This window comes from Homo sapiens, chromosome 14, assembly GCF_000001405.40.
Source record: "Homo sapiens chromosome 14, GRCh38.p14 Primary Assembly".
In the NCBI taxonomy this organism is placed as follows: domain Eukaryota; kingdom Metazoa; phylum Chordata; class Mammalia; order Primates; family Hominidae; genus Homo; species Homo sapiens.
In genome coordinates this window covers 91,832,867-91,849,486 of record NC_000014.9, presented here as the reverse complement: position 1 = coordinate 91,849,486, position 16,620 = coordinate 91,832,867, and the positions used below count along the sequence as shown (strand labels likewise).

Below are 16,620 nucleotides of genomic sequence, written 5' to 3'. Positions count from 1 at the left end.
GAATGCAACCAAGAAATCTAATGCCTTTGGAATCCTTCACCATCTCTTATCTTTACTTCTCTCAGCACATCAACTTCACTGTCTTTTATTATGGATTGACCTGTTCTACCTGGGAAACGTGGCCACCAAAGTGTCTTGTGTCACTATAAAGAGGACTGTTTTTTTTTTCTAGTTACAGTTTTAAAACAAATTCTAGGGAAGGATTTTGATTGACCGCCTTGGGTTAGATACCATCTCATGAACCAATCAACTCTTACTGGGGAAGTGAAATAGTGGGAAATCACAGCAGCCACGCAACTTTGGAATGGAGGAAGAGTGGTCCTCATGATGAGACTAAAAGCAGATGTCGACTCTGAGTCTCCTACACTTAATTCACACAAATGTTTTTTCAGGAAATATCCTATTAAATTTCTGGAAATTAAATGTTTGCTGAACTCCACTACACTGTTGTGCTGTGTTTAAAGGTGGCAGCACAAGGTCAAAGGTAGAAACAGGAAAAAGCCACGTAGTAAAACTAAGGAATCCTCATTACTTTTAGTGACATCCTGCCCAGAAAGTGAAAAAGGAAGGCAGGATTTGCAGATGGCCCAAAGCGGTGAAAGCAAAATAGTGAATGTTGGGGAGATGATGACTATGAAGAGCTAGGCATACAGCATTGCAGCAACAAATGATACGAATTTTCAGGCATGGCTGTAGTCATCTTGGAAAAGATAGGAGTAAGAGTACAGAAACTCCTGGAGCTCAAGAGGTTATTAATCTTCTGGTCTACTCCCTTCATTTTTCATGTGAGTAGACGGATCCAGGGAGAAGTAATCTTCCCAAGGCTATCATAAAGCCTTAGCTATTTCATTGGCAAAAATGGGAAAAATAATGACACCAACCCTTACATATGTCAGGAGGTTTTTCTTCAGAGAGAAATTGGAATAAAGTTACCAGAAGTTGGATAGTGCATTTTCCTCCCACTAGGCTGACACTTGCAAGGGAGCTGGAATAAATACGCAGATGGCTGATGAAGGTAAGACAGGTAACAAAAATGGGAGATGCCAGAAAAGGGGATAAAGGGAAGGTCTGCAGTCACATGGGTCTTGAAAGTAGACAATCTGTATCATGCTAGACCCTCGACTGGCTTACCCAGGATACTCCTAATCCTGTGGGTTTTCTCTTAGTTATGTGCCCGGGCTGGCCACCACCTGAGGGTTTTCTCATTTACCTGTCCCTTCTTTCAGATATCTTAACTTGGTGAAGCGACTTTCCCAACATCCATTCTATCCCATAAGCAGCAGCCATGTGGTTTGGGAAATTGGTCTCAATTTAAGGGATAGGCCTGATTAGTCAAAATGATATCTTATCCTCTTTGCCAGTATTGGTTCAAAAATAAGCATGTGACCTAATTCTGGCCAAAGGGATAAGAGGTTTGCTGGCTTCTTGGAAAGTTACTTTCTCTTAAGAGCATTCCAGGGGAATTCATTCTATTCTCTTCACCTGAATTGAAGGAGGAGGGTCTTCCCCTGGTAGCCATTCTACAACCACAAATGGAACTAGATTTAGGATGAAACTTACATAATGCAGAACAGAGAAAAGGGAAGGAAAACACTCAATGCTAAATGGTTGAATTGCAAATCAATGACTCTGAAGGCTGATCTATCTTTGGATTTCCTCATAGGTTAACCATATTAGTTATCTATTGTTGTGCAACAAACCTTTCCCAAACAGTGGCTCAAAACAACAGCATTTTATCGTTATTTAGTTTATGAATCTGCAATGTGGGCAGGGCTGAGTGGGAAAGGCTTATATCTGCTCCACAAGGGGTCAGGTGGGGAAGCTTAGCCAGGACCAGGGGGATCCACTTCCAAGACGGCTCCCTCACAAACTGGAAAGTCAATGCTGGCTCAGTCAGATGTGAAGGTCATGGGCCTTATTCTTTTCTACGTGGCCCTCTTCATTTGGGTCTCCACAAACTGTGTGGGCTTCCTTAGAGCATGGTAGCTGGATTCCAAGAGTAAGCACACAAAGATAACTATGTAGAAACTGCATCACCTTATCTGACCTAGCATTGGCCATCACATAGCATCATTTCCAATCTACTTTGCTGGTTGACCAGTCACTATGGTTAGCCTAGATGCAGTTCAGAGGACACAGGTTCCAGCTTTTGTTGAAAGGAGTTTCAAAGAACTGTGGACGATTTAAACCATTGCAGAAACTAAAACATTTCCTTTTTTTTTTTTTTCTGAGATGGAGTCTTGCTCTGTCACCTAGGCTGGAGTGCAGTGGCGTGATCTCGGCTCACTGCAACCTCTGCCTCCCGGGTTCAAGCAATTCTCCTACCTCAGCCTCCTGAGTAGCTGGGATTATAGGCGCCCACCACAACGCCTGGCTAATTTTTGTAGTTTTTAGTAGAATGGTGTTTCACCACGTTGGCCAGGCTGGTCTTGAACTCCTGACCTCAGGTGATCCGCCTGCCTCGGCCTCCCAAAGAGTTGGGATTATAGGCGTGAGCCACCGCGCCTGGCCTCCTTGTTTTTATGACCATTCGAATTGGGTTTTCTGTTATTTATTTGGGGCTGAAAGCATCCTTTTTCATGGGTTTTCTGTTTATCTGGGGCTGAAAACATCCTTGTTGATACAGTTAGTGTCACCTCAGCCATGGGCAGCAGAATGTCCTTAACGAACAGCCCTCAGTCACAATGCCAATTGTAGCAAAGTTACCAGTAATTTGTTACCAGTAATTTAATACAAAGGTTTTGCAATAATTTATTTTTTGTTCTTTTCAAATCACAGCAGAATCAAGCTTACCACAATAATAGCAGAAGAGTCATTTATTTAAATTCAAGTAGAATTCTCTGAATGGGAGTAAAGGGATGGAATCAAAGCGAGGATGCTCCACAGGGCACGTGGGAGCTTTACTCCAGGTTGAGAGCTGTTGGGCTGGATGCCTCTTTTGGTAAGAGAGTTGGAAACAACTTTAGAGTTTCGTTGCTGTGGCTCAAATTCTTTTTCTTCTCCACATAAGCTCCTGTGAAGCCAGTGCAGCCGAGGACTTGTCACCAGGCATTTGATAATCTCTCTCTAGTTTTGATGGTCTTTCGGTGGACAAGGGAAGAGATTAAAAAAAAAATTCTTCTTGATCTTCTGTCTTGGTCCTCTCCACGATGAACTCTACCTAAATACAACAAATCATTTTTTAGTGTCCACTGTGTTTTTAGCACTCTGATAAGGCCATTGCAGATAGAACCCCAATAAGATGTTACTGTAAGAATCTAGAAAATAAGTAGAGGGCAGTTGGAGAGCAATGGGAGGCTACTTAAAATCCAATCCTAATGCAGGTGTGACAGTCTTATGAAAGAAAGGAGAGAAAAAGCTGAGCGTCTATCTGTTGGATTTCAGGGTACTTCCCTGCCCAGAGGTGCAGCAGCAGATCCCTTGACCCTCTTCTCCCCAGCTACCTCTGAAGTGGACCAGGGTAAACATCTGATCAACGGGTGCCCAACCATAGACTAGCCAGCAATTTGTACCTTGTGTGTGGCCTGACTGGAAAATATGAGCTGAGCAAATCAGATTCCTCTCCCAGAAAACTGGGAAGGGAGAAGCACTTACTTCTAAGGTGGTGGCTCCTGAGCCCAGAGGCTGGATAGATATACCATTGAGGAAGTAATTAGAGAATCAGGTGTAGACTGCAGCTTTGAGAGACTGGTGACTCAGATAAGCTGATTGGGATGTGCAGGTGTGCAAAAAGAAGCAGTCTTCATGGAATGCGAGGCTGAGGGGTGTCTGGGCTACCTTAGGTCCTGCACTTTCTGATGCCTGCTTGTTCAGTTCTCTGAATATGTTCCCATATATGTTCCCTTACCCAAAGTAAGGGTAGGAATAGAATACCATTCCCTGCCTTTTACTTGAGCTAATTGGAGAGGTTTTCTGTTACTTGTAACCATCAGAATTCTGTCCAGAACAAGTCAAGGACCCACAGAAGAGATGACAATTCCAATGGGCTTTGAGTAAGGAAACAACCTTAAGTCTAGGCTTTACAATTTACCAACTAAATCTGTGACTTAACAAAAGGAGCTTGAGCTTTAGAGTCACACATAGCTTTGGGTTCAAATCCAATCTGTACCATTACTTCTTTGTGATCTTGGAGAAGTTACTTATCTGTAATGCCTAGATAATGCCTACTAATTCTTAAATGGTTGTTGCAAGAATTAGACTAGACGTATAAACATATTTATTTATTTATTTATTTATTTATTTATTTATTTATTTTGAGATGGAGTTTCACTCACTCTGCTGCCCAGGCTGGAATGCAGTGGCACCATCTCTGCTTACTGCAACCTCCATCTCCCGGGTTCAAGTGATTCTCCTGCTTCAGCCTCCCGAGTAGCTGGGATTACAGGTGTGCGCCACGTCACCCGGCTAATTTTTGTGGAGACGGGGTTTCGCCATGTTGGCCAGGCTGGTCTCAAACTCCTGGCTTCAAGTGATCCACCCCCTTCTCAGCCTCCCAAAGTGCTGGGATTACAGGCATGAGCCACCGCACCCAGCCAATGTATACACACTTACTTATATGGACCATTAACACAGTGTTTGGCACGTAGTAGGTCCATGAAGAATGACAGCTATTGTCATCCCCAAGTATGTTGATGTACTATTTGGATGGGAGAAAGGAAGTAATCTTTGACCCTGGTCCCTGCCAGTAACATAAGGTGGCTTTTTTTTTTTTTTTTTTTTTTTTTTTGAGACAGAGTCTCGCTCTGTCGCCCAGGCTGGAGTGCAGTGGTGCAATATCGGCTCACTGCAACCTCCGCCTCCCGGGTTCAAGCGATTCTCCTGCCTCACCCTCCCGAGTAGCTGAGACTAAGGCATGTGCCACCATGCCCAGCTAATTTTTATATTTTTAGTAGAGACGGGGTTTCACCATGTTGGCCAGGATGGTCTTGATCTCTTAACCTCATGATCTGCCCGCCTCGGCCTCCCACAGTGCTGAGATGACAGGCGTGAGCCACCACGTTGGGCCCATAAGATGGTTTTGATGGAAACATTTTTATATTTCCCAACATTTTAAGAGTGGCTTTATATATTGGGGTGTGTGAGTCTGTGGGCATGTGCGTTTGTTTGGCAAGGATGTTGTTTGGCTCTTCCTCCCCCGTTTCCTATTGAAGTTGTATTCACTATGTCATTGTTATTAATCAGGCAAGCAATATGAGATGAACAGGAGTGATGAGTTGCTCAGGCTGCCAAACAAGTTCATGTTTTGTAGGAAACGCCAAATTGTTTCCTGGGGGGATGTTACTTAGGAATGGAAGGGTATGCCTCTCTGGCCCTCACAGACCCTGTCCCCTCCCTGGAGTGCTGTCAACTCTCAGGGCAATGGGATAACTCTTTAAAAGCCACTTTATGGAGCTGCCGCCCAACTGTGCTGGAAATATATTTGCATTTTTTTTTCCTTTCTTCTGGTAAAAATGTAACCCACGTCAAGTAGGAAATGGATTACAGAGCTCCCACATTTCCTCAAAAACTATCCCAACATCATTAGTCCCTTCATAAGCTAGAAGGGTGGAGGAAGATAGTGAAAGGCTGGGAGTGGTGGAGAAAGAGGGAATGTCTGAAAAAAAATAGGATTATAAAGCATTTTGAGCCCCTCCCTCCACTTCTAATTCATAGAGAGACTAACGTGTAAACTAATAAACCAAAGGTCTTAACTAAAGGCTTAAAAAAGATGTCCTTGAATATTGGGTTCATCTGCCAACCACATTTATTCATGAATTATCTTTATGGATGTGGAGTGGGTTTAAAAACAGATGAGGAAAGCTTTGGCGTCCTAAAACTCCCTGGGGATTTTGCTGGGCGTAGGTGTTTTCCTAAAACTCTGATGAAAGCAGAAGTTACAAATGATAGGCTTCGAATGTTATTTCACACAGTGATTTTGAGTGGCATGTACAATCACTAATATTCAGCAGTAACTTTCTGAAAAGTTGTTAAATCTTTCTCATCTCTGTTATTAAAAAATATTTAGATTTTATATCTAACCCAAAGGACAGAAAATTTCAAGTGAATTGTATTGAGGGTGAGAAACTGAATCCTCTAACTTACTATTGGCTAAATTGGTGCTGCCCAGTGACTTGAGAGGGGAGTCCTGGGCACATTGGTCTGGAACTCTGGGGTCATGATGGGGTTAGATATTCTCCATTCCAGAAAATCATGGTGGGAGGACATGTCAGGTAACTATTTCTATGTAACAAATATTCCCAAAATGCCATGGTACAAAAAAAAAATCATCTTTTATTTCTCACGCTTGCTGGGCAGCTGGGGATTAGCTGTTCTCAGCTGGGTTTACCTGGCATGACTCTGCTTTAGGGTGTCTTACCCTCCTTGGAGCAGCTGGCTGGCCCAGGGAAGTCTTCTAGCATTGGTAGAAGTACAAGAAGGCAAGCAGAAACACATGAAGTCTCTTAAGGCCTAAGTGCAGAACTGAACACGATTACTTCCATTTCATTCTGTTGACCAAAGCAAATCATGTGGCTGAACCCAAAATCAACGGGTAGGGAAATATACTCCACTCCTTCAGTGGAAGGAACTTCAAAGTCGTAGCAAAGGGCATGGATACAGTGCATGATGAAGTCCTGGGGCCAATACTGTAACCTACTAAAAAGAAGGAATATGACTAGGACTGTGGCTCCAGTAAGTGGAACCACATAGCTTATCTGCAACTGTGACAGGTTAGTCCCTTCTGTGGTATTGATGGTAGCTATCATATCTCAACGCTAACGCTCAATATTCCTCCCAACTCTCCTAATTTTCATTCCATTTCCCTGATCAGGCAACCGTTTGGTTATCATTTAGCTTCCTGGATAGCTATTTCTTCAGGGCATAGTGTTTTGGCAGTAAGATACATGTTTGGGCCTTGCAACAATCCTATTTCTCATTCTATATTAATAGACAGACATACTATTGTCTACTTCTGGTGAGCCTGACCAAACTTCCTTCTTCAAGAGAGATTTACTCAGTATGCTAAAAGAGAAAAGGAACAAGTTTCTAAGCTCGAAAAGCTGAAAGTCAGTTGTTCTATTATGTAAATTCAGTGTGAAGGCAGTGGGCAACCAGTCACCCTCTCATGGGGAGACCACTACTAGGGCATAATTTTTACCCAAATTTCTGTAGTTCCTATAGATAAATAACTTCAGCACTTGGCCTTTAATAGTGTAGGGGAAGGAGGTCAGGCGTGGAGGCTCATGCCTGTAATCTCAGCACTTTGAGAGGCCGAGGTGGGCAGATGGCTTGAACCCAGGAGTTTGAGACCAGCCTGGGCAACATGGTGAAACCTTGTCTCTGGGCAACATGGTAAAAACCTGTCTCTACAAAAAAATACAAAAAATTAGCTGGGTGTGTTGGCATGCCTATACTCGCAGCTACTCAGGAGGCTGGGATGGGAGGACCAGCTGAGCCTGGGAGGTGGAGGCTGGAGTGAGCCATGATCGCACCACTGCACTCCAGACCCTGTCTCAAAAAAAAAAAAAAAAAAGGTGGAAGGGAAGGATGGATGGTACAATCTGCATAATCTTATTGCTAGGTAGCCAAGAACATGAATGATGTATTGGAGGGGTTTAATCAGGGAAGCAGAACCACTAGAGTCTTACTGATAATGGGACTAATCTCTTGCAGAATTATGTGAGAAACTGGTGAAGTAAAGGTCTGAAAGTGGAATTGAAGGGTTAGAGAAAAGTCACTAGCCAGCCATCCTGAAGCCCTGTACAGGTGGACTTGTAAGGCCAGAACTTGCAATGATTCTAGGAAGCCGCACATGTCTAACTGCTGGAGTGGTACCCAGGAGGGGGGCTGTGGAAAAGTCCATACATAGCTGCCACTTCTGGAGGTCTCCCACCAAGCTCTCAAGTCATCTTGGGTCCTCTGGCCAGCAGGGACTAGAGTTGGGAAGAAGAGCTAGACATGAGGAGGAGGATGAGCAAGAACCTCCCAGAATCTCTGTGTGTGTCTGCCACCACGTGTAGTCATGAGGATCTTCAGAGGGAGTGGCTCTGCTCCACTTTCACCTTCCAAATCTTGCCTCAATTCTTCTTTTTGGCCAACCTAACTTGGAACCATATAGGGAAATAAATTTGGGGAAATGGAGTTCCAACTTAAGCAAGCTGATGTGGGTCCAGAAGAATGCAGGGTCATTTGCTTCAGGTTTGAGTCATTTCTTCCAGTCCATACAGAGGTCACAGAAATAGGGGTTTAGATGTTTCTCTGCTCTTCTCAGTGAGTCTGGGAGCCTTTGTTCTTGAATCCTGAGCAGTTTCATGTGCTGTCATCCTCTTTGGACCAGCTACTCAGCCTGGGTGAGTTGATCATGTGGTTGGTGGAAAACCTTCTTTTGTTTTTGGATTCTCTCTTTGTTTCCTCCTTCACAGATTTCCTTTGACCCCACTGGTGCTATTGCCTCCTGCTCTAGGTGCTGAATATTTCTCATTTACACCTCTAATACAACTGTGTCAGCCTTTTAGTGCTATGAAGTTTCATTGATTATTGGGGTTTGGAGGAGGCAGATGGGTGTTTTGAGGAAGGGCTTTGTGGGAGGGCACTGAGAAATGAGACTCTCATGATTAGTTCTCCTGGTGGAGCATCTGTGACCACCCATTATCCCATTGTTACCTTAGTTTAGTGGGTAACAGTTATCCAGGTAAGATGATGAGGGAGGGAAAGAAAAAAGAAAAAAGCAACTCTTCTCACTACAAATAGTTCCTAGCTTATTCAACTATGTATCCTGTGGATTAATGGACAAATTCCTTAGTAAGCTATTCAAGACCTTTTGGAGCCTAGCCTTTTTATTTTTCTCTTTTCCTGAATATATACTAGACTTTGAGTAACACTGGATCTCCTGAAGCCCACTCAGGGAAACCCTTCAAAGTGCATGAAAGAGACAGAGAAGTGCAGATAAAGATGATGAAGAAGGCATAATGGTGACTCTGTGCTTGTTTTCAGGTCAAGATGTCAGCATTCTGATAAGGTGGCCATCTGAGAGACAGAAAGCTATGTATCCATAAAGATTTTTCTTTATCTACTTGGGACAAACTTAAAGTTTCTATGACCTTAATAAGCTCTTTGATAAATTTTCATGTTCTATGTCTCCCATAGAATGCCTACAGCATGAGAAACATTTTTTTGGTATGTTTAATGTAATCTATATGTCATCATTCATGACAGTGCCTATCAGAGTAAGTAAATCCAGGTGTTAGAAAAAAACCCCAAATATTAGTGGTTTAACACAATAAAATATATTTTTCACTCACATCACCATCCAATCAAAGTTAGTGGGCAGTGGAGAGAGCTTTGTTCTATGAAGCCAATCAAGGACCCAGACATTTCTCCCATCTTGTCGTATTGTGAGCTTTAGCAATGGTTAGCATGGTTTAGTCCAAGGTTGTCATGGAATGGAAAGAGGGAGACAGTGGGGTGAAGGCTCACCTGTTCTTAGTTGCCTAGATGCAGAAGTGAAACTCTATTTCTGCTCAAATTCCATTGGTCAGAACTGGCCACATGACCTTACCTAGATGCAAGGGGAGTGGCTAGGCAAAGCAGTTTAGCTTCATGCCCAGGGAGAGGAATTGAGGTTTGGTGAGCATCCATGACACTTTTGAAATGTCACTTCCTCTCTGAAGCAAGTGCCTAGTACTGCACCTGTTACATGGCAGGCACTCAGAAATATTTTTTGAACAAATACATGAAATGAATGAATATGTATAGGCTTCTGCTGTTATGTTCTAAGGCAGAAAATGGGAAGGAAATAATTTTGAGAGAAGCAAAAATCTGTCTGGTACCCCCAATGTATTCATGACCATTTATTTGTAAAATTATTTCACAAGCACTCTAGGAATTTATACTCTTTGAAAGCTGTTTTCATTTATTCAACAAACTGTTGAGTGCCTTCTATATCAAGTGCTATGCTGTGTGCTCAGGAAATAGAGGTGGAAGTCATCATTCCTGCCCATTGGTAACTCACTTGGAATGCATCTAGAGGGAAGTGGGAAAAGAAGCCAGTAATCACAGCTATGATGTAGGCACCATGATAGAGATACAGATGGATTGTGGTGGTTATGCTGGGAAATGGCACCTAATTGAGTCAGGAATGGGTGTTGTGGGGTTTCATTGTCTAGAAGAGGTGGTATCTTGGTTGGATGAACATGAGTTTGCTAGTTGATACCTGTAAGAGAAGGGTAGAGGGAATGGTGTGTGCAAATTCGACAGTTTATGGAACTGCAATTCCTTCAGTAGGTCAAAAAGGTGTGATGGAAATACTGGGAGATAAGGCTGGAGAGGTAGGCTTGGGCTGAGTCACAAAGCACTTCTAAACTGCATTAAATAAAGAATGAATAGGGGTTTAGAGTAGGAATTATGCGATTTGTCTCTATCAAATGAAAGAATTGATACACACAGTAATATCTAAGCAGCCACGTTATCCATATTGACCAGTCTATTTTTCTCCTTAGATCGGCCTCAAATAATATAAAATTGCTAAATTAAAAAATAAACAAAAACCCGTTCATAGTATTTTGAGGACGATCCTTTTGTGGGAAGAGATTAGAAATAAGAGCACAAAGAAAGGTGTACAATATCCTCCATTCAAGTAGCCTTGCCTCAGATAGAACAGGAAGGAGGCCCATTTCAAGGAAAACAAAGGAATTGGCTTCATGATTTTACAAGAACTGTATCTGTCAATAGAGAGGATTCTTCTAGGAAAATGTTTTAAGATGGACTAGGGAAGAAAACTAGGAACAATTAGGGGAGCTCCTGCTCTTGGTACTTCTGCATCAGTGAAGAGTTTGTTAAAGTTGTTCATTTAAGGAACCAAGCATCAGCTCACTTCAATTAGTAGTTATTGAGCATTCATTCCTCCTTCATTCATTCAGCACATTTCAATGACACTTTTGTGCCCTGCACTAAGTCAGGTGCTGCAAGGAAGTAAAAGTTATGGTCTTGCCCTTGAGAAGATTCAACTAACACATGAATCTAGTGATTTCTAACCAAGGATGTGCTCTCCTTAGGTATCAAGGGAAGCTGGGCACTGTGGCTCATGCCTGTAATTCCAGCACTTTGGGAGGCTGAGGCATGAGGATTGCTTGAAGCCAGGAGTTTCAGACCAGCCTGGACAGCAAAGCATGACCCTGTCTCTATAAAAAAATTTAAAAATTTAGCCAGGCGTGGTGGTATGTGCCTGTAGTCCCAGCACACTTGGGAGGCTGAGGTGGGAGGATGGCTGGAGCCCAGGAGTTTGAGACAGCAGTGAGCTATGATTGTGCCACTGCAATCCAGTCTGGGCAACAGTGAGAGCCTGCCCAAAAAAAAAAAAAAAAAGGAACAAATGAGAGAGAGACAGAATGAATATTAGTCTAAAACGCCTTGGAGTTCAAAGTTCAGATTCAAATCTTGACTGTATGTTTGGGCAACCACTAACTGGTTGTCTGACCTTTAAATATTTTCAACTGCAAAATGAAGATAATAACAGCTACATTGCAATTTCCAGGATTAAATGAGATGACTCATGAAAGTTTTGTGTGAACAGTGCACAACTTTGCAAACATTTGTGATACATTATTAAATGTGAACGTACTAGGAGTTGAAAGCAGTGGTTTTCAAAGTGTTTGTTGAAACACTAATGCCCAAGATTGGAAACAGGCCTTTCTCAAGAAAAGAGTTCTATGGTCAAACACATTTGGGAGATGCAGGATCAAAGAAAGTAAAACATGGTTCTTATGCCTGTAAAATGCTAGTATGCATTGTGAATCTCAAGGAAAACAAATATTTTGTGTCTCTCTCCCCCACATTAATGTGATCTGGTGATCTACCCCTACTCCCACTGCAGCATCTCTAGGACCTTGAGATGGACAGAACTCACTCTGGGAAAGACTGCTCTCCAGAAGGAAAAGTATGAACCTTTCTTTCAATTTTACAGTCCCACCACCCAGGCTGGCACCGTGGCTCAATGCTTGTAATCCCAGCACTTTGGGAGGTGGAGCACTTTGGGAGGCAGAGGTGGGAGGATCACGTGAGTCCAGGAGTTCAAGACTAGCCTGGGCCATATAATAAGACTTCATCTCTACAAAAAATTAAAAAATTAGCCTGGCATGCTGGCTCGCGCCTGTATTCCCAGCTACTTGGCGGAGGGGCTGAGGTGGGAGGATCACTTCAGCCCCGAAGGTCGAGGCTGCACTGAGCCACGGGCGCACCGCTACACTCCAGCCTGGGCGACAGAACCTCTGTCAAAACAAAACAAACAAAAAATGCTAAGCCATTCTTCATCAGACAGTCTAGGAAACTCATTTCCAAGCAGTGTTGAGATTTCCACCAAGGAAGCCCAGAGAAAAGGGCCAGGCCCCCCGCTTTACCAGGGTTAGAGGGGATCCCTCATAGAATCGGGGGTGTGAGGTGCTGTGGTGGATACATTTAATATTCTTTCCAAGACACCCATTGATGGCAAGGCAGTAGCAGATAGCAACAAAAGCAGAGAGCAGGGCTGATCCTCAAAGACTTTATAGACTTTTTATAAAAACTCTAAAAGTCAAGTAACAACATGACTACTCCGCTTCTAAGTAAAGTGTGCATAAACATCGCCAGAAAGACTGCCCCTGCCTCCCCAAGTCAGAGAAGTTTCCTCAGGCCAATAGCTTCCCCTCTCTTCCCCCTCCTACCGCTTGTCTCCCTTCTTCTCCCAAAACACACCCCACACCTGGCGGCATTTTACACCTTCCCAGGAAGGGGCTGCCAAGCGCGGAGTCGCGGAGGACGCAGGCGCAGCGCGGCTCAGGTACGCGGGAGGCCCCGCCCCTCCGCGCCCAGCCCTTCTGCGCCACTCCACTCCCCGCCCTGCCCCGCCCTGCCTCGCCCCTCCCCGCCTTGCCTCGCCCCTCCCCGCCTTGCCTCGCCTCGCCCCTTAGCGCCCGTCCCGAGGGGCGGGGCGGCCCTGGTGGGTGGTGTGGGAGTGGGTACGGGGAGGGAAGTGGAGGGGAGGGGGTAAGTGATAGGGTAGGGGAGGCCCTGGGAAAGGCAGGACCTCGAGGCGCGGCCGCGCGAGGTGACCGGAGTCACAGTTCCCGCAGGCGGCGACAGCAGAGCGCCCACTGCCTCCAGCAGGTAACCGGCCGCGGCCGCGCGGCGCCGGCCCAGCGCGGGCGTGGGACGTGGAGACCCGGAGGAGGGCGGCGGGACCCGGGCGGGGAAAGGCGCGGCGTGGCTTGGCTCAGGTGCGCTTCTCCCACCTGGCAGCTCGCTCAGGGCTGTGGGGGGTGCCTGTGAGGGCGGCCCCGCCTTGCGGGCTGGAGGTGAGTGTCAGTTCTGTCTCTTTTGTCTTTAACTTTCTTTAAAATGGGGCCGTGGTGGGGCCCAGGGGCTGTTCCCACGTCTCCTCAGCGACGCCTGTGTCGCGGGGGCCTGAGAGAGCTTTAGGCCCCGCGACAGCTGGAAGCGCGGTGGTCTGGAGGGCACCAGGGGTGGGCGACGGGGCGAGGCTAGGTCCCCGCTGGCCAGGTGGGCGGCTCTGCCTAGGGGGACCCGTGACCGGGGACGGTGGAGACCCCAGCCCAGGCGGGGACGGCCGCGCGCCGGGCGCCCGGCTCCCTGCTCCGTGCTCGGGCTTCCGACGGCGCGTCCAGGTGGTTTCTGGGCTCTGGGGAAAGAGAAGCGAATTTCCTTTCCCTGGCGGGGTCTGATGAGAAGAGCTTCGCAGAGGGTTTTTACCTGTGATGTTTCTGAAACTTTGTGAAGTGGCGAAAGGGTGTTAAAAGTGTCCCTTTACTGTGGTGTTTGCAAACCACAATCTACCCAGCTAGGTTTTAGATTTGACTTCTATTTCTTCCAGGTTTTCCTTTGCTATGGTTTTCTTTAGAGGAAGATACTGTGGATGAACTGTGGGCTATAGTGCACACCGATAGACATCTGGGTATAGACAAGATAGATGCCAAGCCAAAACCATTGATTTCTTTAGAACATTTAAAATACAGCATATAAAAGGATTGCTTTTGTAATTGAAATATTATTCTAGTTCTCCCTTTAGGTAGGCAGTTAATAGAAATTTGTTTTCCCTGATTAATATTGTAGAACATAGCCTGGAAAATATTGAGAATTAGCAACAACAACAAAATCCATTTACCAGTTTCATATTTTGATGTGTAACTTCAGCATGGTTAAAAATTGCTTTTTCTGGAAGGAGGGAGTAATGTTGCTTGCCTTTGAGAGCTGGGATATTTGCTTTTTATCATCTCTTTTGTATTTTGTAATTTTTGCTAATGAATATGAGTTACCTTCATAACTGAGGAAGAGGCCATAATACAAATTTATTCTTTGTTTAACCCTTCATGAAAAATTTAAGTATATCTTGTATTTTATTGACTTCATATGAATTATAATTGTGCATTTACGAATAAAACTAATATTGAGAGATTAATTCAGGTGGAGAGAAAATGAGTTTGAGATTCTGGCGGGACATCTGGCATAGCTGTCTAGTGGATATATACCAATAGATATATTGGTATCAGGTTTTCTGAAGTCAAGATCAGACTTACAAATGTTGGAAGCAGCAGTGGATTTGTGGTGGTTAATCCTGTAAGGGTGTAAGAAATCATTCAAGTAAGTATAGTGTAAGAAGAGGGCAAGACCAAGGATGGGGAACACCAGCATTAAGCGATGGGTAGAGACAGCCAAGGAGTCTGAGGAAGAGCATCAGGAAAGGAGGAAATCTAGGGGGCAGTGGTCTCATAGAAGCCAGGAGAGGAGAGTTTTAACAAGGAGAGAAGTCTATCTGGGAGTCAAGAACTGATTACGTGCCTATTGTCTTTGGAAGTTAGGATGGGGGCTTTAACCTCAGCAGACATAATTTAAGTACAGTGTAAGGGTAGAAGCCAAGTTTGAATGAATCTGAGGAGAGAATAGTGATTCTGCACTCACAAGTAAATGTGAGTTTAGAATCCGTATTTTGAGAAACAAAGGTTAGAAGGAGAGGCGATCCATTGATTAGGGAGATGATTAAAAAAAGAAAAGAAAAGAAAAAAGAGAAATAAGGATGATAGACTACCTTTGTGTTATCCATAATAATTACAAATTTTAAAAACGAAGTGCATCATTTCATAACATTGTTCCTCTCTCATGGTTAAGTAGCAGAAGCTGAGAGCAAGAAGCTGAGCATGTTGAAAAGAACTATTCGTGGTAAAGTAGTTATGCCCCGCCCCATCCAAATTATGAACACAATTTTAGTGGTGTTTTGTTTGGTGTATTGAGTTCAGGTGTTATAGTGTTTAAGTCACACATATAAACTGTGTTGGACTCTATTTTACCTGAGTTCCAATATGTTGATGTTCTCAACTTGCTTTTAAGTTATGCGGTTCTTTTACGTATGTCCCAATGGTTCTTCTAAAAATCTTATGTAGAAATCAGGTGTTGGGACTAAAGCAGAATCTGTGAGGCATACATCATTTAGGGCCTTTGCTTCAATTATTATTATGCATTCAGGGGAAAAAGCTCTTAGATTAAAATTTCTGTATAATGAGTTTCACTTCAGTCTTCGTTGAAAGTTTGATTTTTTTTTGTTGCTCAAGAGTTCAGACAAATCATTTTATGAGTATTTTCCTTAGGAATATGAAAAGAATAGTTAAAATGGAAAAGGCTGGCAACCAAGTGTTGATGAGGATGTGGAGCAACTGGAAGTCTCATAATCTGCTGGTGGAAGTGTAAATTGGTGTAGTCATTTTGGAAAACTTTTTGGCATTGTCTGCGAAAGTAAAACATATGCATAAGCTATGCCCAAACATATACCCAATAAAATTCTAGAAAATGCAAACTAATGTGATGGAAAAACACATCAGTGGTTACTTGGGGGTAGGGGAAAGAGAAAGTAAGGAGGGATGGATCCAAAAGGAGTATGAGGAAACTTTAGGGGATGATGGATATATTCATTTTCTTGATGAGATGATGCTTCTACCAATGTGTGTGTATGTATTTATATGTATGTATGTCACTCATTTAATTATACATTTTAAATATGTGAAATTTACTGTAGGTAAATTATACCTCAGTAAAGCTTTAAAACAGATTAAATAAAAATAAAGAATAGAAGAAAGGCACATCATTTAAGTATATTTACCTCCTTCAAATACTATAGTTATTTCAGGGTAATATAATTATGGATAATTTTTATTTTATTCATATAGTTTTCTGAATTTTTAATGTTTTGTACCACAACCATGTATTTATTTACTTCTTAAATGAGAAATTATTTCATATGTGCAAAATAGTACTTTTGACACATCTACAGATTCAGAGAATACAAATAAAATAAATAGCCCCGTGCCTATGTATTGCTTAAGAAATATACATAACCAACATTTTTTGAAGCCAACCTGTGTATTCTCCCTGATTATATCTTTTTCTTTCCACTCTCCTTGATTCTCTATATGGTTTTACCACATGTCTATGCATTCCAAACACTGTGTTGTTTAGTCTACTTTGGAACTCTGTATAAATGATATTCTACTATGTGAATCCTATGGCTTTGCTTTTGCACATTCTGTGAGATTCCTTCATGCTGATGTGTTGTAGTTTGTTCACTTTTTATTGCCGCGCATAATTTCATTGTGTGACTTTACC

At 43.4% G+C, this 16,620-nt stretch overlaps 1 protein-coding gene and 1 long non-coding RNA gene across 5 annotated transcripts in view; one reads left to right on the top strand and one right to left on the bottom strand.

The window, feature by feature from the left end:
- The window catches only part of TC2N (tandem C2 domains, nuclear), an 87,791-nt gene that overhangs the window by 18,050 nt on the left and 53,121 nt on the right, over positions 1–16,620 (top strand). For 2 of the 4 annotated variants that reach the window (NM_001289134.2, NM_001128595.3), the window contains exon 1: positions 13,032–13,116. The exons of 1 other annotated variant lie outside the window; for it this stretch is intronic. The gene's annotated coding sequence lies outside the window, so the exon portion shown is untranslated. Of the gene's footprint in view, positions 1–13,031; positions 13,305–16,620 lie in introns of those variants that run through there. One more of the 4 variants, NM_152332.6, reaches the window with a different exon arrangement.
- On the bottom strand, positions 2,802–9,393 carry LOC124903362 (uncharacterized). Its single transcript, XR_007064307.1, has 2 exons — positions 9,279–9,393; positions 2,802–3,160 (listed from the first exon to the last, which is right to left on the bottom strand). It is a non-coding gene; the product is annotated as an uncharacterized LOC124903362 (long non-coding RNA).